This window comes from Homo sapiens, chromosome 6 (assembly GCF_000001405.40).
Source record: "Homo sapiens chromosome 6, GRCh38.p14 Primary Assembly".
NCBI lineage: Eukaryota > Metazoa > Chordata > Mammalia > Primates > Hominidae > Homo > Homo sapiens.
The window spans coordinates 30,268,201-30,295,764 of NC_000006.12; the positions used below are offsets into that span (position 1 = coordinate 30,268,201).

At 39.4% G+C, this 27,564-nt stretch overlaps 2 long non-coding RNA genes across 5 annotated transcripts in view; both read right to left on the reverse strand.

The window, feature by feature from the left end:
• The window catches only part of HCG17 (HLA complex group 17), a 92,096-nt gene that overhangs the window by 34,162 nt on the left and 30,370 nt on the right, over window positions 1-27,564 (reverse strand).
• HCG18 (HLA complex group 18) overlaps window positions 19,197-27,564 on the reverse strand; it is a 39,760-nt gene continuing 31,392 nt past the window's right edge. For 2 of the 4 annotated variants that reach the window (NR_024053.2, NR_024052.2), the window contains 2 exons: window positions 26,271-26,764; window positions 19,197-24,399 (listed from right to left, as the gene is read on the reverse strand). This is a non-coding gene — a long non-coding RNA (HLA complex group 18). Of the gene's footprint in view, window positions 26,765-27,564 lie in introns of all 4 variants that reach the window. The other 2 variants (NR_102326.1, NR_102327.1) reach the window with 2 other exon arrangements.

The window sequence follows — 27,564 nt, forward strand, 5'->3', positions numbered from 1 at the left end:
TTTAAAATAATTATGAGCTGGGCACGGTGGCTCATGCCTGTTATCCCAGCACTTTGGGAGGCTGAGGCAGGCGGATCACCTGAGGCTGGGAGTTTGAGACCAGCCTGACCAACATAGAAAAACCCCGTCTCTACTAAAAATAGAAAATTAGCTGGGCGTGGTGGCACATGCCTGTAATCCCCGCTACATGGGAGGCTGAGGCAGGTGAATCACTTGAAACTGGGAAGTGGGCATTGTGGTAAGCCGAGATTGTGCCACTGCACTCCAGCCTGGGCAACAAGATCAAAACTCTGTATCAAAATAATAATAATAATAATAATAATAATAATAATAATAATAATAATGACAAGCTTGAAAATGCCTACAGAATGTATTAACCTAAAAATGACCTGTTTTTCAAAAGAACTAAAGTTAGTTTTTAGGAAGTAAAATTAACTTTGATTTTAAAATTTTTAACTTAGTTGAATTAAAAATTGAAAAGTCATGATCTATTGACTTTTGCTTTGGATTATGATGGAATAACAAGGACCAGATTTACTCTCATGCCTTAAGCACAACAAACTCAAAATAATATATGAAAAAATAGCTATGTACTCAGATACTAGACAGCAGGTATCCCAGAGACTGTGATCTCTGGGAGAAGGGGAATGGAAAAGGTAAGGTCTACAGTTGTCCAGCTTCCTTCCTGGACAGAGTTTCCAAGGCAGAGTGCAGAGAGGCAGAGCCCTAACCAGGAGGTTCACTGAGGTGAGGGGACAGAGTTGTGAACTTGGAGATTCCAGGACATCCAGAATATGCAAAGATGAAGGCACATAGAAAAGACAGCTGATGATAAAAAGCACTGTAAGTCTGCAGGAGGTACCCCTCAAATTTTCAGTTAATCAGCATATTATATAAGGGAACTACCCAAAGACAGGGAAAGAATTATCCGAAAGGACTTCAGAGAATAGTACCCAGTGATATACAGGGCTGGAAATAATGCCTGTTCCCACTAGCCAGACTGGAAAACCTCATAATTTGCTGAGCATTGGATAGAGTATTCTGAAGGGTCTTATGTCAGCAGTGGTAAATAATTAGCCCTGGACTAAACACTTTTTGTTTTTTTGCTAAAAGATATTAAAAGACTTAAAATGATCAAACAGCTCCTGAATAACTTAATTTGTCCCAGTAAAAATAAAAAGCTCAGCCGGGCACGGTGGCTCATGCCTGTAATCCTAGCACTTTGGGAGGCCAAGGTGGGCAGATCACCTGAGGTTGGGAGTTCGAGACCAGCCTGACCAACATGGAGAAATCCCGTCTCTACTAAAAATACAAAATTAGCTGGGCATGGTGGCGCATGCCTATAATCCCAGCTACTCGGGAGGCTGAGACAGGAGAATTGCTTGAACCCAGGAGGCAGAGGTTGCAGTGAGCCAAGTTCTCACCATTGCACTCCAGGCAACAAGAGGGAAACTCTGTCTCAAAATAATAATAATAATAATAAAGCTCATGAATACTTATAGAATGCAAAAATATCTGGCACCTAACCTGGTAAAGTCATGTCTGGCATTAAATAAAAACAATCACCAGGCATATAATAAAAACAAGAAAATACAACTCAGAAGGCAGAGAAAACCATCAGTCTAAAGTTACCTAGAACTGACATAGATGTCAGAATTAGCAGGCAATAACATAAAACGGTTATTGTAAATGTATTCCATATGTTCAAAAAGTTACACAGAGACATGAAAGATACATAAAACATCAAAATCAAACTTCCAAAGATGAAAATGTCAGACATAAAATACACTGGATGTGAGGTGAGATTAATGGTAAACTTTATGCTGTAGATTAAACAGTGACTTTGAAGACATAGAAATAGAAACTTTCTGGGCCAGGTGCGGTGGCTCAAGCCTATAATCCTAGCACTTTGGGAGGCTTAGATATAGAAGGAATGTATCTTACCAGGATAAAGGCTATGACAAACTCACAACTAACATCATACTCAATGGCGAAAGTTGCATACTTTTCCTGTAAGATCAGGAACAAGACAATGATGCCCACTCTGGCCACATCTATTCAACATTGTACTGATAATTCTAGGCAGAGTAATTAGGGAAGAAAAAGAAAAGGGATCTAAACTGGAAAAAAAGAAGTCAAATTGCCTCTGTTTGTAGATCACAAGATCTTATATATGGAAACCCCAAACACTCCACCAAAATACTACTGGCACTGAAAAAAAAAATCAGTGAAGTTGCAGCATACAAAATCAGCATACAAAAATTAGTGGTACTTTTATATACTTACCAAAAACTGTCTGAAAAAGAAATCAAGAAAATAATCTCAGTTATAACAGTATCAAAAAGAATAAATTAGGAATAAATTTGATCAAGGAGCTGAAAGATCTGCACACTGAAAGCCATAACAGTGACAAAAAAAATTGAAGAAGCCACAAATAATTGGAAAGATATCCTTGTTCTTGGATCAGAAGAATCATATTGCGAAAATGTCCATACTACCCAAAGCAATCAACAGATTTAATGTAACCCCTATCAAAATTCCAATGGGATTTTTAACTGAATTAGACAATCTCAAAAGTCGTATGGAACCACAAAAGAACTGCAATAGCTAAAGCAATCTTCAACAAGAACAAAGCTGGAGGCATCACACTTCCTGATTTAACATGATACTACAAAGCTATATTAATGAAAACAGTATGGTACTGGCATAAAAACAGCACATAGAATAATGGAATAGAACAGAAAGCTCAGAAATAAATCCATGCATATACAATTAACTAATCTTTGAAAAGGTGTCAATAATATATAATAGGGAAAGGATACTCTCCTACATATATAGTGATGGAAAAACTGGATATCCACATGGAAAAAAATAAAACTGCATCCCGATCTTACACCATATGCAAAATCAACTCCGAATAGATTAAAGATGTAAATGTAAGACCTGAAACCACAAAACTTGGAGAAGAAAGCAGGTGAAAAGCTCCGAGACATTGGCCTTGGCAATGATTTTTTTGGGGGTATTACCTCAAAAACATATGCCAAAAAAGCAAAATTAAACAAGTGAGACTACATTAAAGTTTTTGCACAGCAACACAACAATAAACAAAATGAAAAGGCAAACCACAGAATGAGAGAAAATATTTGCAAACCTTATATTCACTAATGGGTTAATATGTAAAGTCTATAGACTCCATAGAACTTAATAGCAAAAAACAGATAACCCAGTTCAAATATGGGCAAAAGACCCGAATAGACATTTTTCAAAAAAGACATACAAATGACCAAGAAGTATATGAAAAGGTGCTCAACATCATTAATCATCAGAGAGCTGCAAATCAAAACTGCATTGACATATCACCTTACATCAGTAAGAATAGCCATTAACAAAAAGACAAGAGATAATCAGTGTTGGTAAACTGTAGAGAAAGGGAACCCTTATACATGGTTGGTAGGAATGTGAATTGGTAAAAGCATAATGGAATACAATATAGATGTTCTTCAAAAAATTAAAAACATAACTACCATATGATACAGTAATCCTACTTCTGGGCATATATAAAAAATGAAATCAGTAAAGAAATTTCTGTACCCCCATATTAATTGCAGCACTATTCACAATGGCCAAGATATAGAAACAAAGTAAGTGTTTATTGATTAATGGATGAATAAAGACATTGTGATACACACACATACACACACACACGAATATTATTCAGACATGAAAAGGAAGGAAATACTGCCATTTGTAACAACATGGATAAATCTGAAGGACATTATGCTAAGTGAAATAAGACAAACACAGAAATAAAAATACTGTATGATCTCATTTATATGTGTAATCTATAAAGTGGAATTCAGAGAAACAGAGGTAGAAACAGTCAGTTGAATTAACTTAACTTTGACCTGAGGCTGCCTGTGTACCTAAGTAAGTAGGTAAACAAATCAAAACCTAAGTTAGGAGTATAACTGTTAGCTGGGGTTCACCCAATCACAAGCAGCCAGCTCATCACACCATGCCCAAATAAGGCAAATGCCTAGCTGTAGCCAATCAGGTGATTTTTCTTCTTCTGTGTCTGGCACATAAAGGCTTGCTGTGCACACTCCTGGGTGGAGCTTTCTGACCCTCTCCTGGTTCTGAGTGCTGCCAAATTTGTAAATTATTTTTTGCTTAAATAAACTCTTCTAAATTTAGTTTGTCTAAAGTTGATGGAATTTTTTTTTTTTTTTTTTTTTTTTTTTTTTTTAGGGGTTACTAGGAGTCATGGTTAGGGGAAATGGGGAGATGTTGGTAAAAGTTTACCAACTTGCAGTTATAGGGTGAATAAGTTCTGGAAACCTAATGTACAGTGTGAAAGGAAAAATAATCTCAGGTCCCCAAAATCACTAAGCCAAAGTGATTTGGGCTTACAACAGGATGGCAACTATTGGTATACTTGAAATTTACTAAGAGAATAGATCTTAAGTATTCTCACCACACACAAAAATATTAACTATGTGTCATAGATATGTTAATTAGCTTGATTGTGGTAATCATTTCACAATATATATGCATTTTAAAAATCATGTTGTACAACTTGAATGTATATAATTCTTGTTTGTCAATTATGCTTCAATAAAGCTAGGGAAAAATAAAATACTTAGAAATAAATGTAATAAAAGAAGTACGAAATTTATACTACAAAAAAACCGACAATATTTTTACAGAAATCAAAGAACTAAATAAATAAAAAGATGTTCTATTTTTATGGATCAGAAGACAATATTATTAAGATGGCAGTATATCAAAATTGGTCTACAAATTCAATGCAGTTCTATCAAAATCCCAGCTGACTGCTTTGCAGAAACTGACAAGATGATATTAAAATTTATATGGAAATTCAGTGAACTACAAAAGTTACAAAACTTTTGACAAAGAACAGAGTTTGAGGAACTATACTTGCTCATGGCAAAAGTTACTACAAAGCTGCAATAATCAATACAGAGTGATACTGACATAAGGATAGACATACAGATCAATAGAATAGAGAGGCTAGAAATAAAAGTTTATAATTATGGTCAATTAAATTTCAAAAATACTGCCAAGGCAATTCAGTGGGGGAAAGAAAAATCTTTTCGAGAAATTATACACAACTCAATAGCAATAAAACAAATAACCTAATTCAAAAATGGACAAAGGACCTGAATAGACATCTTTCCAAAGAAGACATACAAATGACCAACAGGTATATGAGATGGTGCTGAACGTAACTAATCAGAAAAATGCAAATCAAAATTGCAATGAAGTGTTACCTCACACCTGTCAGAATAGTTATTATCAAAAAGATAAGAGGTAATAAGTGTTAATGAGGGTGTAGAGGAAAGGGAATCCTTATACATGGTTGGTGGGAATGTAAATTGGTATAAGCATTATGGAAAACAGTATGGTTTTTCCTCAAAAAATTAAAACGATCTTTCCTTAAAAAAATTAAAAACAGAACTACCAGTATATGATCCAGCAGTTTTACTTCTGGGCCTGTATCCAAGGAAAATGAAATCAGTATCTCAAAGAAATATTTGCACCCATATGTTTATCACAGCATTATTTCCTGGAAATAACCTGAATGTCTGTCAACTGATGAATGGATTAAACATATGTTTTACTCTATTTTATGCTGCTATAACACAATATCACAGACTGGGTAATCTATAACAAATAGAAATGTATTTTCTCTCGGTTCAGGAGGCTATGAATCCAAGATCAAGGCACTGGCTAATGGTGAGAGCCATCTTGCTGCATCATCACATGGCTGAAGGTAGAAGGGCAAGTAAAGTACAGAGAACACACTCCTGGAAGCCCTTTTATAAAGGCATTAAAACCACCCCCAAGGGTGGAACCCTCATGGTCCAATCACCTCTCAAAAGTCTCACCTCCTAATAATGTTACAATAGCAATTAAATTTCAATATGCAGCTGGGTGCAGTGGCTCACTCCTGTAATCCCAGCACTTTGGGAGGCTGAGGTGGGAGGACTGCTTGAGTCCAGGAGTTCAAGACCAGCCTGGGCAACATAGTGAGACCCCATCTCTACAAATATATATATACTTCAACCCATGTTGAAATATAAATGGGTTGAAACAACATGGGTTTTGGAGGGGACAAAAATTCAAACCATAGCAATATGGTGTGTATGTATACACACACACACAAAATGGAATAATAGCCACAGAAAAAGGAAGTACTGACATTTGCAACAACATGGATGAACCTGGAGGATATTATATTAAATGAAATAAGCCAGACACAGAAAGACAAATATTATATAACCTCATATTTGCAATCTAAAACAAGTGAAACTCCTAGAAACAGAGGTAGAACGGTGGTTACCAGGGGCTTGAGTGGGAGAAATGGGGAGATGTTGGTCAAAGGGTGCAAATTCTCAGTTATATAATGAACAAGTTCTAGAAATCTAATGTTCAGTATGGGCAGTAATGGATTTGTTAATTTGGTTGCAATAATAATCATACAATGTATATGTGTATTAAATTATCATGATGTATGCCATGCACAACTTTGTCAATTAAATGTTTTTTAAATATGAAATGGCCAATGGTTAAAAAAAATTGTGCTGATGTAACTGTATATCCACCTGCAAAAGAATGAAGTTTGACCCTACCTCATATCATATACATAAATGACTTAACATGGACCAAAGACCTAAATGTTAGTGCTAAAACTATAAAACTTACAAACAAAAATGTATGCAAAAACCTTCATGACCTCGGATTAAGCAGTGTTTTTTAAATATGACACCAAAACACAAGTAACAATAAACCAAACAGATAAATTCTATCTCAACAAAGTTTAAAACTCTGTGTTCCAAAGAATACAATCAAAAAAGTAAAAATACCACCCTCAGGCTAGGAGAAAGTATATATAAATCTTATATGTGAGAAAGAATTAGTATATAGAACACACAAACTCTTACAAGTCAAAAATTAAAAGACAAATAATACAAGTAAAAAATGAACAAAGGGCTGAATAGATACTTCTCCACAGGAGATAGAAAGATGGCTAATAAGAATATGAAAAGATGCTTGGCACTATTAATCATCAGGGAAATGCAAATTAAAAGCACAGTGATATACCCCTGCACGGTCACTGGAATAGCTAGAATAAATAAGACAGATATCAATAAGCAGTGGTGAGGATGTGGAGAAATTGGAATTCTTGCACACTGCTGGTAAGAATGTAAAATGGTGCAGCCTCTTAAAGAATAGCTTGGCAGTTCCTCAAAGTTTGAATGTAGAATGAGTATTTGACCCAGCAATTCCATTCCCAGGTATATACCCAAGAGAAATGAAAACATGTCCATGCAAAAATTTGTACATAATGGTCAAGCAGCATTATTCTCAATGGCTGAAGAGTGGAAACAATACAGATGCCCAGGAACAAATGAATGAATAAGATATGGTCAATCTATGGAACGGAATATTTGGCCATAAAAAGAAATGCAGTACTAATAAATGCTGCAATGTGGATGAACCTTGAAAACATTATGCTATGTGAAAGACGCCAGTCACAAAAGACCATCCATTATATTATTTCATTTATATGAAATGTCTATAAGAAATAAATTTGTAGAGAGAAAGTAGATTAGTGGTTGCCTAGGACTGAGGAAATGTTGGAGGGAAAAATGGGGATGACTGCCTGAGAATAAATATACATGGGTGATGAAAATGTTCTAAAAATAGTTTTGGAGTGATGAACATGTTCTACAATTGATTGTGGTGATGGTTGCACTATAAATATGCTAAAAACCATTGAGTTTAAATGGTTGAATAATATATGAATTTTATCTTAATGAAACTGTTCTAATGAAAAATGATGGCTCACATGAAATAAAATCGATGTGCCAGAGCTGCCATGGCAGATTGTGGAGAAAGAGACCAAAAGGCTCAGAGCAGTGAGCATGCTGGCATAGATAGATACACTCTATAAAACTGGATCATGCACTGGGTGACTGTTTATTTGGAAGGGCCCAAAGGAAACTCTGTTTATCAGGCAGCAAGTCATGGGCAGGTGAACGGGGTATTAACCTAATTTTGTCCTTTGTGGGCTGGAGCTGACTCTATGAGATGATATTGGAGAACTTGGTGCCCTAGCAACAATAGGACAGTAGGATTCCAGAAAGCTAGAGGCCAGCTGGCAGCAAGGCAGAATCAAAATGGACAAAATCCCCAAAATAGTGAGTAATGTTAGAATGGAAGCCAGGAAATCCTGACTGCAAGGGATTTAGGGAAATTATTAAGACTATGGTGTTTCTAGTTGGGCAGCCTATAAGACTGTTGTTTAATATTAGAATCAATAGATGAAAAATAGATGAGCTGAAGTCTGAGATTAATTTCTCCAATAGAAGTTTAAAATCCCTTGCCCAGTTTCCAGACCTGAGCCAGTGCTTAGATCCAGAATCCATTCATTGAAGGAGAGTCACGTCCCCTGATGAAGTATCTGCAACACCATAAGTGTGTACAGTAGACACTTTCTACACCCTTCCCTAAAGGGATCAATGGCCATTTACTCAGGTATCAAGACACTGATAAAGGGGAATGTCCAGATATTTTCAGGTCTATTGGATACAGGGTCCAATTTCACACTGATACCTGGGGAACCAAAGCACCCTCATGGACTTCTATTAGAGGAGAGCCACACAGGGAACTGAAAATAATTTCCTGTCTCAGGTCCACCCGTATCTCCGTGGATTCTCTGTGTCCACACATCTGCTTGGTGGTTATTTTTCTGGTTTCCAAATATGTAATTGATGGATTTATTTTGTACATTAGTTATTTCACTCACACTTTAGTCATTTCACCTGTGGAATAAAGGATTTGTAGTAAGAAAGGCCAAGTGGATGCCCCTAAGAGAGCTTCTAATATCGACCAAGATAGAAATTTTAAAACAATGTAGTATTTGAGGGGCAATGAAATAAACTGTCACTCAAAGACATAAAAGATGCAGGGGTTGTGGTTTCATCATCAACTATTGAATTTACCACTCCAGTTCTAGCAAAAATTGGATGGATGATAACAGATGACAGTGGATTAATGAAAATGTAACCTATAATTAGCCCCAACTTCAGCAGCTGTGCTGAATGTGATATGTTTAAAAAAAAAAGATTTATTGTTTTTGTATATTATATAATGCCATTGATCTGCCTAAATGCATTCTTTTAAATACCTATAAAAAGGAGGGCCAGAAGCGAGTTTTATTCACAGAGGACAAATAATAATACATTTTAAAAAATATTTTATTTTTGATTTTCAATTTTTGTGGGTACATAATAGCTGCATATATTTATGGGGTACATGAGATGTTTTGATACAGGTATGCAATGTGAAATAAGCACATCATGGAGAATGGGGTATCCATTCCCTCAAGCATTTATCCTTTGAGTTACAAACCATTCAATTACACTATTTTTAAATGTGCATTATTGACTATAGTCCCCCTATTGTGCTATCAAATAGTAGGTCTTATTCTTCTAAATTTTTTTTTACCGATTAAACATCCCCACCTTCCCTTCAGCCCCCCACTACCATTCCTAGCCTCTGGTAACCATTCTTCTACTCTTTATGTCCATTAGTTCAATTGTTTTGAATTTAGGTCCCACAAATAAGTGAGAACATGCCATGTTTGCCTTTCTGTGCCTGGCTTATTTCATTTAACATAATGATCTCCACTTCCATCCATGCTGTTGCAAATGACTGGATCTCATTCCTTTTTATGGCTGAATAGTACTTCATTGTGTATACATACCAAATTTTCCTTATCCATTCATCTGCTGTTAGACATTTAGGTTGCTTCCAAATCTTAGCTATTGTAAACAGTGTTGTAAAAAACATAGGAGTGCAGATACCTCTTCCATATACTGATTTTCTTTTTTGAGACAGGGTCACACTTTGTCACCCAGGCTGGAGTGCAGTGGCATGATCTTGGCTCACTGCAACCTCCACCTCCTAGGTTCAAGTGATCCTACCTCAGCCTCCACAGTAGCTAGGACTATAGGTGTGAACCACTACAACTGCCTAATTTTTTTTTTGTATTTTGTAGAAATCAGGTTTTGCCATGTTGCTCGGGCTGGTCTTGAACTTCTGGGCTCAAGTGATCTGCCCTCCTCGGCCTCCCATAGTGCTGGGATTACAGGTGTGAGCCACCATGCAAAACGCTGGTTTTGTCTTTTGTGGGGTATATACCCAGCAGTAGGATTGTTGCATCATATCGCAACTCAATTTTTAGTTTTCTGAGGAACCTCTAAACTGTTATCCATAGTGGTTGTACTAATTTACATTCCCATCAACAGTGTACGAGGGTTCCCTTTTATCCACATCCTCACCAGCATTTGTTATTGCCTGTCTTTTGGATATAAGCCATTTTAACTGGGGTGAGATTATATCTCATTGCAGTTTTGATTTGCATTTCTCTGAGGATCAATAATCATCAGCACCTTTTCATATGCCTGTTTGTCATTTTTATGTCCTTTCTTTTTTTTCTTTTTCTTTTTTTTGAGACAATGTCTCTCACTCTGTCGCCCAGGCTGGAGTGCATTGGTGCAATTATGATTCACTGCAGGCTCAAGTGATCCTCCCATCTCAGCTTCCTAAGTAGCTGGGACTACAGGTGTGCACCACCACTCCCAGCTATTTTTTATTTTTGTATTTTGCAGAATTGGGGTTTGACCATATTGCTCAGTCTGGTCTCAAACTTCTGGGCTCAATTCCATCTGCCTTGGCCTCCTAAAGTGCTAGGATTAGAGGCATAAGCCACTGTACCTGGCTTTGTATGTCTTCTTCCTTTTTCTTTTCTTTTTTTTTTTTTTTTTTTTTTTTTTTTGTGAGACGGAGTCTCACTTTGTTGCCCAGGCTGGAGTGCAGTGGTGTGATCTCGGCTTACTGCAACCTCTGTCTCCCAGGTTTAAGCGATTCTCCTGCCTCAGCCTCCTGAGTAGCTGGGATTACAGGTGTGCGCCACCATGCCTGGCTTATTTTTGTATTTTTAGTAGAGACGGAGTTTCACAATGTTGGTCAGGCTGGTCTCGAACTCCTGACCTCAAGTGATCCACCCGCCTGGGCCTCCCAAAGTGCTGGGATTACAGGCATGAGCCACCACGCATGGCCTGTATGTCTTCTTTTGAGAAATGTCTATTCAAATCTTTTGCCCATTTTTTTACTTAGACTTTTAGAATTTTTTTTTTTTTTTTTTTTACTATAGAGTTGTTTGAGCTTCTTATATACTCTGGTTATTATTTCTTTGTCAGATGGGTAGTTTGCAAATATTTTCTCCCATTCTGTGGGTTGTCTCTTTATTGATTGTATCCTTTGCTTTGTAGAAGCTTTTAAACTTGATGTGATACTATTTGTCCAGTTTTATTTTGGTTGCCTGTGCTTGTGGGGTATTGCTCAAGAAATTTTTGGCCAGACTACTGTCCTGGAGGTTTTCCCCAATGTTTTCTTATAGTAGTTTCATGTTTGAGGTCTTAGATTTAAGTCTTTATTACATTTTGAATTTATTTTTTATTTTTTGAGATGGAGTCTTGCTCTGTCGCCAGGCTGGAGTGCAGTGGCACAATCTCAGCTCACTGCAACCTCCACCTCCTGGGTTCAAGCGATTCTCCTGCCCCAGCCTCCTGAGTAGCTAGGACTGCAGGCACATGCCATCACGCCCAGCTAATTTTTGTATTTTTAGTGGGTGGGGGGGGGTGAGTTTCACCATGTTGGTCAGGATGGTCTCAATCTCTTCACCTCGTGATACGCCTGCCTCAGCCTCCCAAAGTGCTGAGATTACAGGTGTAAGCCACCATGCCTAGCCTTGATTTGACTTTTGTCTACAGTGAGAGGTAGGGGTCTAGTTTCATTCTTCTGCATATGGATATCCAGTTTTCCCAGCACCATTTCATTGAAGAGACTGTCTTTTCTTTTCTCCAGTATAAGTACTTGGCAACTCTGTCAAAAATGAGTTCCCTGTGAGTGTGTGGATTTGTTTCTAGGTTCTCTATTCTGTTCTGTTGGACTATGTGTCTGTTTTTATGTCAGTACCATGCTGTTTTGGTGATTATAGCTCTGTAGCATAATTTGAAGTCAGGTAATGTGATTCCTCCAGTTTTGATCTTTTTGCTTAATATAATTTTGGCTATTCTGGGCATTCTGTGTTTTCATATAAATTTTGGGATTTTTTTTTCTATTTCTCTGAAGACTATTATTGGTATTTTGATAGGGATTGCATTAAATCTGTAGATTGCTTTGGGTAGTATGGACATTTTAACAATATTGATTCTTCCAATCCATAAAGATGGAATTTTTTCCATTTTTTTTGTGTCCTCTTCAATTTCTTTCATCAATGTTTTATAATTCTCCTCATAGATATCTTGCACATTTTTGGTTAATTCCTAGGTATTTAATTTTATGTGTGGCTATTGTAAATGAAATTACCTTCTTAAATTTAAAATTTTTCAAATTGTTCACTGTTGACATATAGAAATGCTACTGGTTTTTATATGTTGATTTTGTGTCCTGCAACTTTACTGAATTTATTGATTCTAATAGTTTTCCTGTGGAGCCTTTAGGTTTTTTCCAAATATAAGTTCATATCATCTGCAAACTAGGGTAATTTAACTTCTCCCTTTCCAGTTTGGATGGCCTTTATATCTTCTCTTGTCTGATCGCTCTAGCTAGAACATCCAGTACTTTGTTGAATAACAGTGGTGACAGTGAACATCCCTGTTGTGTTCCAGATCTTATAGGAAAGTCTTTCACTTTTTCCCCATTCAGTATGATACTAGCTGTGGGTCTGTCATATCTGGCTATTACGTTGAGGTATATTTCTTTTATACAGTTTTTTGAGGGTTTTTATCATGAAGGGATGTTGGATTTTATAAACTACTTTTTCAGCATCAATAGAAATAATCATATGGTTTTAATCATTCTTTTTGATATGATGTATTACATTGATTGATTTGCATGTGTTGAACCATCCTTGCATTCCAGGGATAAATCCCACTTGGTCATGATAAATGATTTTTTTTTTAATGGAGTCTCACTCTGTCACCAAGGCTGGAGTGCAGTGCCACAATCTCAGCTCACTGCAACCTCCACCTCCTGGGTTCAAGTGATTCTCCTGCCTCAGTCTCCTGAGTAGCTGGGATTACAGGCATGCACCACCACACTCGGCTAATTTTGTATTTTCAGTAGAGACGAGGTTTCACCATGTTGGTCAGGCTGGTCTTGAACTCCTGACCTCAGGTGATCTGCCCACCTCGGCCTCCCAAAGTGCTGGGATTAGAGGCTTAAGCCACTGCACCCGACCCTGATGAATGATCTTTTTAATGTATTGTTGAATTTAGTTTGCTAATATTTTGCTGAGGATTCTGGCATCAATATTCATCAGAGAAATTGGCCAGCAGTTTTCTTTTTTTGATGTGTCTTTGTCTGGTTTTGGTATCAGGGTGATACTGGTCTCCTAGAATGACTTTGGAAATATTCTCTCCTCCTCTATTTTTCAATAGCTTGAGTGGGATTGGTATTAGTTCTTCTTTAAATGTTTGGTAGAATTCAACAGTGAAGCCATCGGGTCCTTGGTTTTCTTTAGTGGGAGACTTTTTATTATGGCTTCAACCTTGTTACTTGTTATTAGTCTGTTCAGGTTTTGGATTTCTTCCTGGTCCAGTCTCAGTAGGTTGTATGTGTCTAGGAATTGTCAATTTCTTCTAGATTTTCCAATTTATTGGCATAGAGTTGCTCATAGTAGCCCCTAATGATCCTTTGAATTTCTGCAGTGTCAGTTGTAATGTCTTTTTCATTTCTGATTTGTATCTTGTCTCTTTTTTCTCAGTCTTGCTAAAGGCTTGTCAGTTTTGTTTAACTTTTGAAAAAAAGCAACTTTTTGTTTCATTGTTCTTTTGCATTGATTTTTATTTCAATTTTATTTATTTATGCTCTAATTTTTATTATTTGTTTTCTTCTAATTTTGTGTTTGTTTTGCTCTTGCTTTTCTGGTTAAGGTTCATTGTTAAATTGCTTATTTGAAGTTTTTCCTCTTTTTTCATGTAGGCACTTATAGCTATCAATTTGCCTCTTAGTACTGCTTTTGCCGTATCCCATAGGTTTTGGTATGTTGTGTTTCCTTTATCATTTGTTTCAAGAAATTGTTCAATTTCCTTCTTAATTTCTTCATTGACTCAATGGTCATTCAGGAGCATATTGTTTAATTTTCATGTATTTGTAGTTTCAAAAATTCCTCTTGTTATTAGTTTCTAGTTGTATTCCACTGTGGTCAGAGAAGATGCTTGATGGTATTCAACTTTTTTAATGTTTTAAGACTTGTGACCTAACATATGGTCTATCCTTGAGAATGATACATGTGCTAAAAAAGAATGTGTATTCTGCAGCCATTGGATAAAATGTTCTGCAAGTATGTATTAGATCCATTTGATCTACAGTGCAGATTAAGTCTGATGTTTCTTTTTTATTTTCTGTCTGGAAGATCTGTCCAGTGCTGAAAATGTGGTGTTGAAGTCTCCAGCTATTATTGTATTGGGGTCACTCTCTCTCTTTAGCTCTAATCGTATTTGCTTTATATATCTGGGTGCTGCAGTGTTGAGTGCATATATATTTATATTTGTTATATCCTCTTGCTGAATTGAACCCTGTATTAGTCTATTCTTGCACTGCTATAAAGAAATACCCGAGACTGGGTAATATATAGAGAAAAGAGGTTTAATTGGCTCACAGTTCTGCAGGCTGTACAGGAAGCATGGCTGGGGAGGCCTCAGAACACTTACAATCATGACAAAAGGTGAAGGGGAGGCAAGCCTGTCTTACATGGCTGGAGCAGGAGGAAAGTGGGAGGAGGTGGCACACACTTTTAAACAATCAGATCTCACAATAACTCACTCACTGTCATGAGAACAGCACCCAGGGGGATGGTGTTAAACCATGAGAAACCACCCCCATTATCCAATCCTCTTCCACCAGGCTCAACCTCCAAAATTTAGGATTACAATTGAACATGAGATTTTGGTGGGGATGCAGATCCAAATCATATTATTCCACCTCTGGTGTCTCCCAAATCTCATGTCCTTCTCATACTGCAAAATACAGTTATATCTTCCCAACAGTCCCTCAAAGTCTTAACTCATTCCAGCATTAATTCAAAAGTCCAAAGTCCAGAGTCTCAACCTGAGACAAGGCAAGTCTCTCCCACCTGTGAGCTTACAAAATAAAAAAACAGTTAGTTACTTCCAACATACAGTGGGGGTACAGGAATTGGGTAAACACTCCCATTCCAAAAGTGAGAAATTGGCCAAAAGAAAGGGGCTACTGGACCCATGCAAGTCTGAAACCCAGCAGGTAGTCATTAAATCTTAAAGCTCCAAAATACTCTCCTTTGACTCCATATCTCACATCCAGGGCACACTGGTGCAAGGGGTGGGCTCCCAAGGCCTTGGGCAGCTCAGCCCCTGGGACTTTGCAGGGTAAGCCACTGTCACTGCTTTCACGGGCTGGCATTGACTGCCTGTGGCTTTTCCAGTTGTACAGTGCAAGCTGTCATTGGCAGATCTATCATCCTGGAATCTGGAGGACAGTGGCTGTCTTCTCACAGCTCCACTAGGCAGTACACCAGAGGGGAAGCTGTGTGGGAACTCCAACCCCAAATTTCCCCTCCACACTACCCTAGTAGAGGTTCTCCATGAGGGCTCTGTCCCTGCAGCTGGCTTCTGCCTGGACATCCAGGCTTTCCCACACATACTCTGAAATCTAGTTGGAGGCTCCCAAGCCTCAATTCTTGCACTCTGTGCACCTACAGGCTTAATTTAACACCACACGGGAGCCACTAAGGCTTATAACTTGCATCCTATGGAGCAGCAGCCTGAGCTATACCTGGGGCCCTTTGAGCTGAAGCTGGAGCTGGAGCAGCTGGGATTTGGAGAGCAGTTTCCTGAGGTTGTGCAGGGCAGCAGGACCCTGAGCCTGGCCCAGGAAACCATCCTTCCCTCCTAGGCCTTTGGGCCTGTGATGGGAGAGGCTGCCCCCAAGGTATCTGAAATGCCTTCAAGGTGTTTTTCCCACTATCTTGGCTATCAACATTTTGCTCCTTGTTACTTGCAATTTTCTGCAGCTAGCTTGAATTCCTCTCCAGAAAATGGTTTTTTTCTTTTCTACAACATGGCCAGGCTGCAAATTCTCCAAACTTTTACACTCTGCTTCCTTTTTAAATATAAGTTCCAGTTTCTTGTCATGTCTTTGCTCACAAATATGAGCACAGACTACCAGAAGCAGCCAGGCCACGTCTTGAACGCTTTGCTGCTTAGAAATTTCTTCTGCCAGATACCCTAAATCTTCGCTCTCAAGTTCAAAGTTCCACAGATTCCTAGGGCAGGGGCACAATGTCTCCAACCACAATGTCCTAACAAAAGTGACCTTCACTCCAGGTCCCAATAAGTCCCTCATCTCCATCTGAGACCTCCTCAGCCTGGACTTCATTGTCCATATCACCATCAGTATTTTGGTCAAAACAATTTAACAAATCTCTAAGAAATTCCAAACTTCCCCTCATCTTCCTATCTTCGGAGCCCTCCACACTCTTCCAACCTCTGTCTATTTCCCAGTTCCACTGCTGTTTCCACATTTTCAGGTATCTTTCTAGCAATGCCTCACTCCTCTTTACCAATTTTCTGTATTATTCTGTTCTCACACTGCTATAAAGAAATACCCAAGACTTGTTAATTTATGAAGAAAAGAGGTTGAATTGGCTCATAGTTCCACAGGCTGTTCAGGAAGCATAGCGGCATCTGATTCTGGGAAGGCCTGAGGGAGCTTTTACTCATGGAATAATGCAAAGTGGGAGCAAGCATCTACATAGCAGGAGTAGACCAAGGCAAGCGGGTGGTGTGGAGAGGTGCTACACACTTTTAAGCAACCAGATTTCAGAAGAACTCACTATCATGAGAACAGCACTAAGAAGATGGTGCTGAATTAGTCATGAAAGATCCACCCCCATGATCTAATCACGTCCCACCAGGCCCCACCTCCAACATTGAGGATTACAATAGAACACGAAATTTGGGTGGGGCACAAATGGAAACCATATTAACCCCTTTATCATTGTATAGTGACTTTATTTGTCTCATAGTTTTTGTATCAAAATCAATACTCCTTCTCTTTTTCCTGGTTTCCATTGGCATGGAATAACTCTTTCCAACTCTTTACTTTCAGCCTATGTGTGTCTTTATAGTTTAAGTGTGTTTCTTGTAGGCAACAGATCAATGGGTCTTGTTTTCTCCATTCATTCAGCCAGTCTATGTCTTTTGATTGGAGAGTTTAGTCCATATTTCCATTCAATGTATTATCGATAAGTAAAGACTTACTCCTGCCTTGTTATTTATTTGTTTTCTGGTTGTTTTGTGGTCTTCTTCTTTCTTTTCTTCCTGTCTTCCTTTAGGGAAGGTAGTTTGCTCTGGTGATATGATTTAGGTTTTTGCTTTTTATTTTTTATGTATCCAGTGTATGTTTTTAGGTTTGAGGTTACCATAAGGATTACAAATACTATTTTGTAACCCATTATTTTAACCTGGTAACACTGTTTGCATTAACAAACAAAAAACTAATAAAAACTCTACATCTTAACTTCATCCCCCCACTTTTTAACTTTTTGTTGTTTCTAATTTTATCTTATTTTTCTGACTGGTCTTGAAAAGTTGTAGTTACTATTTTTGATTGGTTTATCATTTATTCTTTCTACTTACACACCACAGTTACAATGTTATCACACTTTGGGTTTTTCTGTGTACTTACTCTTAACAGTGAGTTTTTTACCTTTAGATGATTCTTTGTTGCTCATTAATGTCTGTTTCTTTCTGACCAAAGTACTCCCTTAAGCGTTTCTTATGGGACCAGTCTAGTGTTGATGAAATCCCTCAGCTTTTGTTTGTCTGGGGAAGTCTTTGTTTATTCTTCATGTTTGAAGGATATTTTTGCTGGATATACTATTCTAGGGTAAAAGGTTTTTTCCCTTCAGCACTTTAACATATGTCATGTCACTCTCTCCTGGCTTGTAAGGTTTCCACTGAAAAATATACTGCCAGATGTATTGGAGCTCCATTGTATGTTATCTGTTTCTTTTCTCTTGCTGCTTTTAGGATCCTTTCTTTACCCTTGTCCTGTGGGAGTTTGATTATTAAATGCCTTGAGGTAATCTTTGGGTTAAATTGGCCTGGTGTTCTATAACCTTCTTGTACTTGGATATAAATATCTTTCTGTAGGTTTAGGAAGTTCTATGTTATTATCCCTTTCAACAAACTTTCTATTCCTATCTCTTTCTCTATCTCTTCTTTAAGGCCAATAACTCCTAGATTTGCCCTTAAGAAGTTATTTTCTAGATCCTGTGGGCATGCATCATTGTTTTTTATTTTTTGTCTCCTCTGAATGTGTATTTTTCTTTCTTTCTTTTTTTTTTTTTTTTTTGAGATGGAGTCTTGCTCCTTCACCAGGCTAGAGTGCAATGGTGTGATCTCGGCTCACTGCAACCTCTGCCTCCTGGGTTCAAGCAATTCTCCTGCCTTGGCCTCCCAAGTAGCTGGGATTACAGGCATGAGCCACCACACCTGGCTAATTTTGTATTTTTAGTAGAGATGGGGTCTCTCCATGTTGGTCAGGCTGGTCTCAAACTGCCGACCTCAGGTGATCCGCCTACCTCAGCCTCCCAAAGTGCTGGGATTACAGTCGTGAGGTGAGCCACTGTGCCCAGCTTTGTTACTGTTAATAGTGCTGCAATGAACATACACTTGCATGTGTCTTTATGGTGGAATGATTTATATTCCTTTAGGTAAATATCCAGTAATGGGATTGGTGAGTCAAATGGTAGTTGTTTTTAGCTCTCTGAGGAATCACCACACTGCTGTCCACAGTGATTGAACTAATTTACACTCCTAACAAGTGTATAAGTTCCTTTTCTCCATAACCTCACCAACATCTATTATTTTTTTACTTTTTTGTAGCCATCCTGACTGGCAGATGATATCTCATCATGGTTTTGATTTTGCATTTCTCTAATGATCAGTGATAATTGAGGTTTTCTTTAACACGCTAGTTGGCTGTATGTATGTCTTTTTTGAAAAGTGTCTGTTCATGTCCTTTGCCCATTTTTTAATGGAGTGGGTTTTTTTTTTCCTGTAACTGTGTTTAAATTCCTTATAGATGCTAGATATTAGCCCCTTGTCAGATGCATAGTTTGCAAAAATTTTCTGTCATTTGGTAGATTGTCTGCCCTGTTGTTTATTTTGCTATGAAAAAGCTCTTAAATCCAATTTGTCCATTTTTGCTTTTGTTACAATTGCTTTTGGTGTCTTCATCATGAAATATTTGCCAGTTCCTATGTCCAGAATGGTATTGCCTAAGTTATCTTCAGGATTTTTATAATTTTGGGTTTTAACTCTTTAAACCATCTTAATTTTTGTACATAGTAAAAGGGGTCCAGTTACGATCTTCTGCATATGGCCAGCCAGTTATCCCAGCACCATTTATTGAATAGGGAGACCTTTCCCCATTGCTTGTTTTTGTCAACTTTGTTGAAGATCAGATGGCTGTAGGTTTGTGGCCTTATTTTTGGGCTCTCTATTCTGTCCCACTGGTCTGTGTGTCTGCTTTTGTACCAGTACCATGCTGTTTTGGTCATGGTAGCCCTGTAGTTTGAAGTTAGGTAATGTGATGCCTCCACCTTTGTTCTTTTTGTTTAGGATTGCCTTGACTACTCAGGCTTTTTGGTTCCATATGAATTTTAAGTTTTTTCTAGTTCTGTGAAAAATGTAATTGATAGTTTGATAGGAATAGCATTGAATCTATAAATTGCTTTGGGTAGTATGGCCACTTTAATGATATTGATTCTTCCTAGCCATGAGCATGGAAAGTTTTTCCATTTGTTTGTGTCATCTCTGATTTCTTTGAGCAGCGTTTGTGATTCTCATTGTAGAGATCCTTTACTTCCTTGGTTAGCTGCATTCCTGGGTATTTTATTCTTTTTTGTGGCAATTATGAATGGGATTGTGCTCCTGATTTGGCTCTTGGCTTGGCGACTGTGTATAGGAATGTTAGTGATTTTTGTACACTGATTTTGTCTCCTGAAACTTTGCTGAAATTATCAGATGAAGGACCTTTTGGGCTGAGGCTATGGGGTTTTCTAGATATAGAATCATACTGTCTGCAAACAAGGATAGTTTGACTTCCTCTCTTCCTATTTGGATGCCCTTTATTATTTCTGTTGCCTGACTGCTGTGATCAGGACTTTCAACACTATATTGAATAGGAGTGGTGAGAAAGGGCTTCCTTATCCTGTGCCACTTTTCAAGGGGAATGCCTGCAGCTTTTGCCCATTCAGTATGATGTTGGCTGTGGGTTTGTTATAGTTGGCTCTTATTATTCTGAGTTATGTTCCTTCAACACAAGATGGGAAGCTCCCCAAATCCACATCTCTTGCTTGTGGGGGAGCCATCCTCAGCACATCGGCCCTACCCAACCCACAGTAGATACCAACATCCCTATGATGGATGAGCTATGGTGGAGTCCCCCCAACCCCAGAGTGAGAATTGGCCCCCGATGGGGACTTAGGGAGGGCTGAGTTGGCGAGCTGTGGGAGGTCATCATCAGTGGGGCTCAAGCTCTCCCCTCCAAGCTCCAAGGATCTCTGCAGCCACAGGACGCATTCCTTCTCCACTTAGATCTTGTCTGTGAAGTATCCAATTGCCTTCCATTTCTACTTGGTGTAGAATGTAGGGGGCAATGAATGAAACTGCCGCATATTGCAGAGGGTCCATGTCCAAGCACAGGCAGTTGTAACGGTAGTAGCCACACCACCAGTACCTGTGGTTCCTGCTAGCCCCTCCACTGCCCAGGCCAGACAGTGTCAGTCTGGCAGATGTACCCCCAAGGACTCTCCCTCATGGTGTCTGCTCCTCTGCCCCACCCTTCTGATCTCACAGCTTCTCCTTAGGTGACATTCACACTTTAGACAAAGTTGTTTGGTCCCCTGATTATGATCTCCTTTACTTGCTGTCAGCTCTGCCTGGGAAGAGGTCTATGCTCAGTTCCAGGATACATGGAAAAGGCAGTGGATGGGCAGGTACAGTCTTGGGCTTTACCATGAACTGTGTTGTTTAGTCAAGTTGTTTAACCTCCACTCTGTTCATCTTGTATATATGGGTGGGGGGTGAAGACTATGAGCCCACAGGTCTGCTTCTGTGCTCACTGTAACAGATTCCTAAGTGCAAGTCCCTGAAACAGGATCACAGTACACAACATTAACATAAGAGGGTACATTATGCACGGTACAGCTTTCCTTGAGGTTCTAGAGAATGCAAACCTTAACATTAACAAGTACCAAACCTCTGCTGAAAAATCCTCTAATGAATTTCAAGGTTAAATATAAATAAACTGTGGGATTGTTCTGCCTAGAGTAGCCACACCCTCCTCGGGGGTCCCACAGTCCACAGGCTCAAACTCCTCATCCAACAGTTACATGCTCCACCAACTTTCAGACTGTCTCTCCCAGTAGGCAGTGAGCCCCTAGAAGGCAGGGACTATGTAACGGTGACCTGGCAACTTTGTTGAACAGCTGCTCCTATCAGGATCAGTTCGTAAAAAGCCAAGCACTGCTCAGCCTTTTATTATGCCTCTTACTGATTTATGCCTTCATTTGGCATTCAAGAACTTGCTCCAATAGTGCCAAACAGTTGGGAGATATTTACTACAAATTATTAAAACTGCAGTCTATCCTCTGAACCAACTGTGCTCAATCCCACCACACATCTTGCTGCTCCCTAACTTCTAGCTGCTTGGAAAGTCTCATTTTCTTCATCTACTCAAATCATACACATCCCTCGGGTTCCATGCAAAGTTCCATCTCATTCATGAAACTCCCTGACCACTGGGATATCTGGCCCATGAACTTGAGCAAACTATTTCTTCTGCATCTCATTTGGCATTTGAGGAGGGACTGTTCTCTGACGTCTCCTGGTATGCCTCACAGAGTCAGTAAAGTGTTTCCAGACCTATAGGTACCACCCCATATTGTTAGCTCTTTGAGGATACACACTAGGTTATACTTTTCTGGTTCTCCACCCTAAGCACCCAAAAGGCAGATGGTAGGTACATCTCAGCTCCAAAGAGACTGCTGAAGACTGAATGAATTAATGACACACAGAGAAACTGACCCTGGTGACCAGCCTGGGCCAGTTCACTCACGTGACTGTGGGGGCTGGCAAGTACATAATTTTCAGGTTAGACTGGCAGGCTGGAGACCCAGGGAAGAGCTGACACTGCAGCCTGAGGCCACAGGTAGCAGTGTTGCTGGGTTGCTGCATTCTTTACTGTGAGATTTAGAAAAACTGTCATTATCATTATCCTAATATTGTCAAAACTTGTAGGCAGCCTATTTGCTGTTTTTGGTTCTTATTGTTAGTGTGTTGTTATTCCTGTGGAAATCATAATTGTGCAGCGTTTTGATATCTATGAATTCAAAAACTTAAACAGAATATTAAGAACAAACTAATAATAAAGTGACAAACTTTGGATACCTTTTTAACATTGTTTCTAAATATTGTAAACATGAATCTTCTGGACCTCAGAGGGAACAAGGAAGCAATGATATTAATAATGAATCATAATCTGGAACACCTGATATTGTACACAAACTATAACAACTGGAAATGCCTTTGCAACTGCATAAGAGTTAGTTCAAAGAAACAATAATTTGCATTTCTAAAATTTAAAAAATCCCCAATAACTTTTGACAAAACTCACAGATGGCTTATTATTGCTAGCAATGTAAATATTGGATGCAAATCATGCTCAAAAGCTGTGTGAATAGCCAAAAGTGCTAAGCACATTCTGTCAGTGCTCATAATTCAAGGAAAACATTAGCAAAATTCAAAGAAAAAAACTTGAAAAATATTAAGAACAGCTTTGTACAATAAAGTATTTGAAAAAAGCAACAAACAGTGGAAAAATGCCATCAGATGTTAGTATACAGTTTACCCAAATGTGTAATTAAATAGAGCATTTTACATCATTAAGTAGAGGCTTTTAAACAATTATACATAGTGCATATCATTGCAGTATAGATTAATGGTTCTGCTGGTTGCAAACCATATTCTACATAAGACAACTTTTGGAAAATTTATTAATCCAAGCAATAAATCATTATCAGTGAAGTGTCAACCATTTCACAAAATGTATTTAAGTTTTAGTTCCTTAAATACTAAATGTAAGACTTACAGGAAAATGGGTTTTTGTTGATCTGAGGAACTTATACCAACCTTACTCATCAGTGCCCAAGAAAAATAGCTTTAATGTGAGACAGTTGTATGATGGTACAGATAGTGCCAGTATATGCAACGAAGAAAGTTCAGGTTTCACCAAAATTTTGCAAAATTTCGGGGTTTAAAAATCTGTTTATCGCAGAAGTCACATTGACTGTCTCACATTTACTCTTCCTCGTGTCCTGATCCTGCTGACTTGTCCACATGGGCAACTACGAAGCTGGCACAACTATACTTCTTTGTTCACTTTGGTCACCACCATTTGTTCTGCTGTTGGGCTGCCCATGTGTAGGCAGGTTTCACGAAAATATCAGGTTCCCTAAGCAACATGAACTGGGAGGCTCAGAGAGGGATTTCCCTAGTCACTGACTTACTGAGGGATTGACTCAAGATTCCCAGGCACTAGACAGAAGCAGTCGGGAAAGGAATCATTTCCTGATTGCCTGTGGGGGAAAAAGAAACTTTTTTGGATAGAACAGTCTGGATGGACTCTAACACAGTAAAAAGTGAAGGCAGTGCATTCTTCAGAAGGGCGGCAGATGGGGCACCACGCATCCCCACAGAGGGGCTGTCCTGCGGTCCTTGCAGGAGTTGCCAGGCTCCCAAAATCTCCTCCTGCTGCTATCCCCACCCTGCCTGAAAAGAGGTGAGGAGGATGATGGGGAGGGAGTCAAACAGACTTGGGATAGGAGGAGTGAGTGCGCTGGTAAAACCAATTACTTAGCTAAACCTTTGGCTAAAACTCTAGGAAGGGAGGCACAAAATGGGAAAGTGTGGGTTTTTTTTTTTTGCTTCTCTAGGTGAAGGTTTAAATTAACTTCAGCATGGGTAAAACTATTCTTTCCTTCTTTTTTCTCTCCCAGAGTTCTCACCACCTCCTCCCAGGCTAAATCCTTCATGTTGCAGGAGACAGAGAATCCCAGGTGAGACCCGGACTTTTTCTCCTCCCTCCCTTCCTTTTTTCACCGTGTTCAGGATAAATTATCTTGGTTTTGTTTCTGGAGGGAAAAGGGCAGAGAGGCCCTGACTTGAATCTCAATCACATTTCTGCACACAGTACCTGAGGAGACAGAATAGCAGAGGGGTGGGAACAATTAACATTGCTTTATGGGCTTTAGAATGGAGAAAAAATAATTCCCACTCTTTTTTCTTTTACCCAAATCCAACTTCAGTTTTCTCTCCAACTCTCTAAAACCACCACCAATACTATTATCACATCATGTGTAGCTACTTGGGGGGTGGTGAAAGGCTGAGTACGCATCATGTTCAGGTAGTAGGGTGTTAAACGAAATAGTTCCTCACAGCAATGCCCAAAGTCATCCTTGGTCACAATAAAGGAGAATAAAGGGAAAAAAGTATGATTATTGTATTAGATTGTGGGGTTGCAGGTGAGTTTTTTTTTTCCATTTTAAAAATTATTTTGTGGTTATAATGATGATGTCAATTTTTAAAAAAATAAAAGAATGGAAAAAGTTGACTTGGGATTTCATAATGCAAAGAAAAAAGCAAAACAAAAAAGAACAACAAAAAGCAAACAAAACAGATTTACATGTAATACCTAATTTAATCCCTTCATAACTCTGTGAAGTGGGTCAGTATTGACGGGTCAGCTTAACTAACAGATATTAGGAATGAGATCCAAAACAACCAGCCATGGTCGCACAGCTTGTGGAACCCAGGTTCTTTGACACTCAGCCCAGTGTTCCACCTGCAATGGCAACCTAAGTGAGGAGGGGGCCTCAGAGATGAGGTGGTCGACCCTTACAATGTTGATATTCTCCATGCTTTCTCAGAGCAAGTGGCTGAATCTCTTTCGTGACAGAGAACTCACCACCTACCAAGGCAGCCCATTTTATTAAGTCTAACTTTTAAAAAAGATACTTATGATGAGCACAATTCTGTCTCTCTCATACTCTATGGAAACGACCAATTTCTGACCTCTATGTCACAAAGAGTAAGTTTAGTTCTTCACATAATAGCCCTCCAAATATTTGAAATCTCTAGTCATAGCCAGATATATTGCATCAAAATAAATGGCTATTTTCTGCAGGAGGGTTGGTCCAAATGTCCTAGCCTACCATTACCTGAAGCAAGAAGTCCTCCCTATTTTTTGAAGAACTATATTTATTTGCTCAAATCATATTTATTAGGGGCCTGCTATCTGCCAGGCAGTGGGGATGCAGCGATACACAGGTCAAATAGGCATTTGGAGTGTGGAAGTGGGTGCCCACCCTAGTCGGGGAGCATCTCAGGATGTCCTCCTCAAGGAGATGACATGTCAACTGAGCCCAGAGGACAACAGGAGTTGACAGGGAAGAGTATTTCCTAGAGCGAGAAACTGGAGGCAGCTGTAGTGAGGTGCTGATGGGTTCTGGCCACCACCTGGACCACCTAGATTTGATGTTTCTCCACCCCCACTTAGTTGTGTGACCCTGGACAAGTTCCTCACCCACTACGTGCTTTAGAACCCTCACTGTGAAATGGGAGATGTGATAGGAATGTTGTGAGGATTGTTTGAGTGAATACATGCAAAGGACTTAGGACAAGCCTGGCACATAGTTAATGCTCAATCAATGTTTTCTCTCGCAACTGGAGGGAAACAAGGTAGTGGGCAGGAAGGGGGAGTGCGCAGACAGTTCCTGCTAAGCCTTGTAAGTTACCATGGCCCAGCACTGTAACCAGAGAAGTGAGGATGAGACTTCCACTTTGAGAAAGGCCTCTCTGGCCGCAGCATGTAAAGGAATGGGAGGGGATTAGAATGTGTGTGCACGGACTAGGTGGGAGCTAACTGCAGGGCCAGCATCTGTGGCACAGATTATCTCTCTTCATCCTGAACCCCTCCCTCTTCCCGTCTCGAATCCTTTTCCCACTCCTGACCACATCCTCCACCTGTCAGAAAGTCACAGTTAAGGAAGAGATTTCCGAGCACACCTTGGACAGAAGTCATGATGATGGGGCCCATGACTGGCAACCTGCTGGGAGAGGTGGCCTGCAGTGTGTCTGGAGTACATGGGGGACCCCGGGAGCATCTTCTGTGTCTGTGGCCCCTGGCAGGCCTGCATCACTTGGTGCTATGCCACTATCAGATCCACCACAGGAGCCATGTGCTATTCATTCCACAAGGAGCCCTTTCAACAGGGAGACATCAGGCCCAACTGGATTCTAGCCACCTTGGTCTCCAGTCTCCTACTCTCAAGCCCATGAGTGACAATTCAGCACAGGAAATTTGGTTCTGTGAGCAGCATCTATTGGCAGGATGACCAGCAATTCTTGTGTGTGGTTTGCAAAGATCTTAACGGAGAACAAATGTTACTTAGTGCTGCAGAAGGAGAACAATGCTAGGTTCCACAAGGTAGTCTGTCCTTTTGCTGTCTTGTCTACACCAGAGAACCTTTGGTTGACTTGCTTTAATATTGGCTTCAGTCCTATTACAAAACAACAACAAATTATTGTATTCTAAACACAGTTCTAAATGCAACAATAGTTTATCTTTTAATCCTGGATTATACAGTTTACAATTACTTGCAAATGCATAGTACCTCACTCCAAAAAACCTCAGGCATCCAGGCATCACAATTTCTCTATCTGCATGACACAGAAACTTCCATGTCACTAGAGGATTTCACAATCCATATATGAATCCCCTGAAGACTTCTTGGTGTGAAGGAAACATCACTGGACACAACACTGAAAATGGCAATAGTCCAGGCATGGTGGTTCATGCCTGTAATCCCAGCACTTTGGGAGGCTTACGCGGGTAGATCACCTGAGGTCAGGAGTTTGAGACTAGCCTGGCCAACACAGTGAAACCCCATTTCTACTAAAAATACAAAAATTAGCCAGGTGTGGTGGTGCATGCCTGTAGTCCCAGCTACCAGCGAGGCTGAGGCAGGAGAATCACTTGAATCCCGTAGGCTGAGGTTCTGGTGAGCTGAGATCACGCCACTGCACTCCAGCCTGGGCAACAGAACGAGACTCCGTCTCAAAAAAAAAAAAAAAGGCAACAAAAGCCCTGGATAGATAGGGTTTTTTTAGGTGAGCTATAACATCTGGGCAAATAAAAACACTATGTTATTCCTAGAAAAATTATAGAAATCTAACTTAACCTTGTCAACATGGGGATTCATTATCTTATTTAGCAAACTAAAGGAACAATAATGTAACTGCACCTCAGGTACAACTGGAACCAGGGATTTGAATGCAACTAAGACTTCCCATCTTTTAT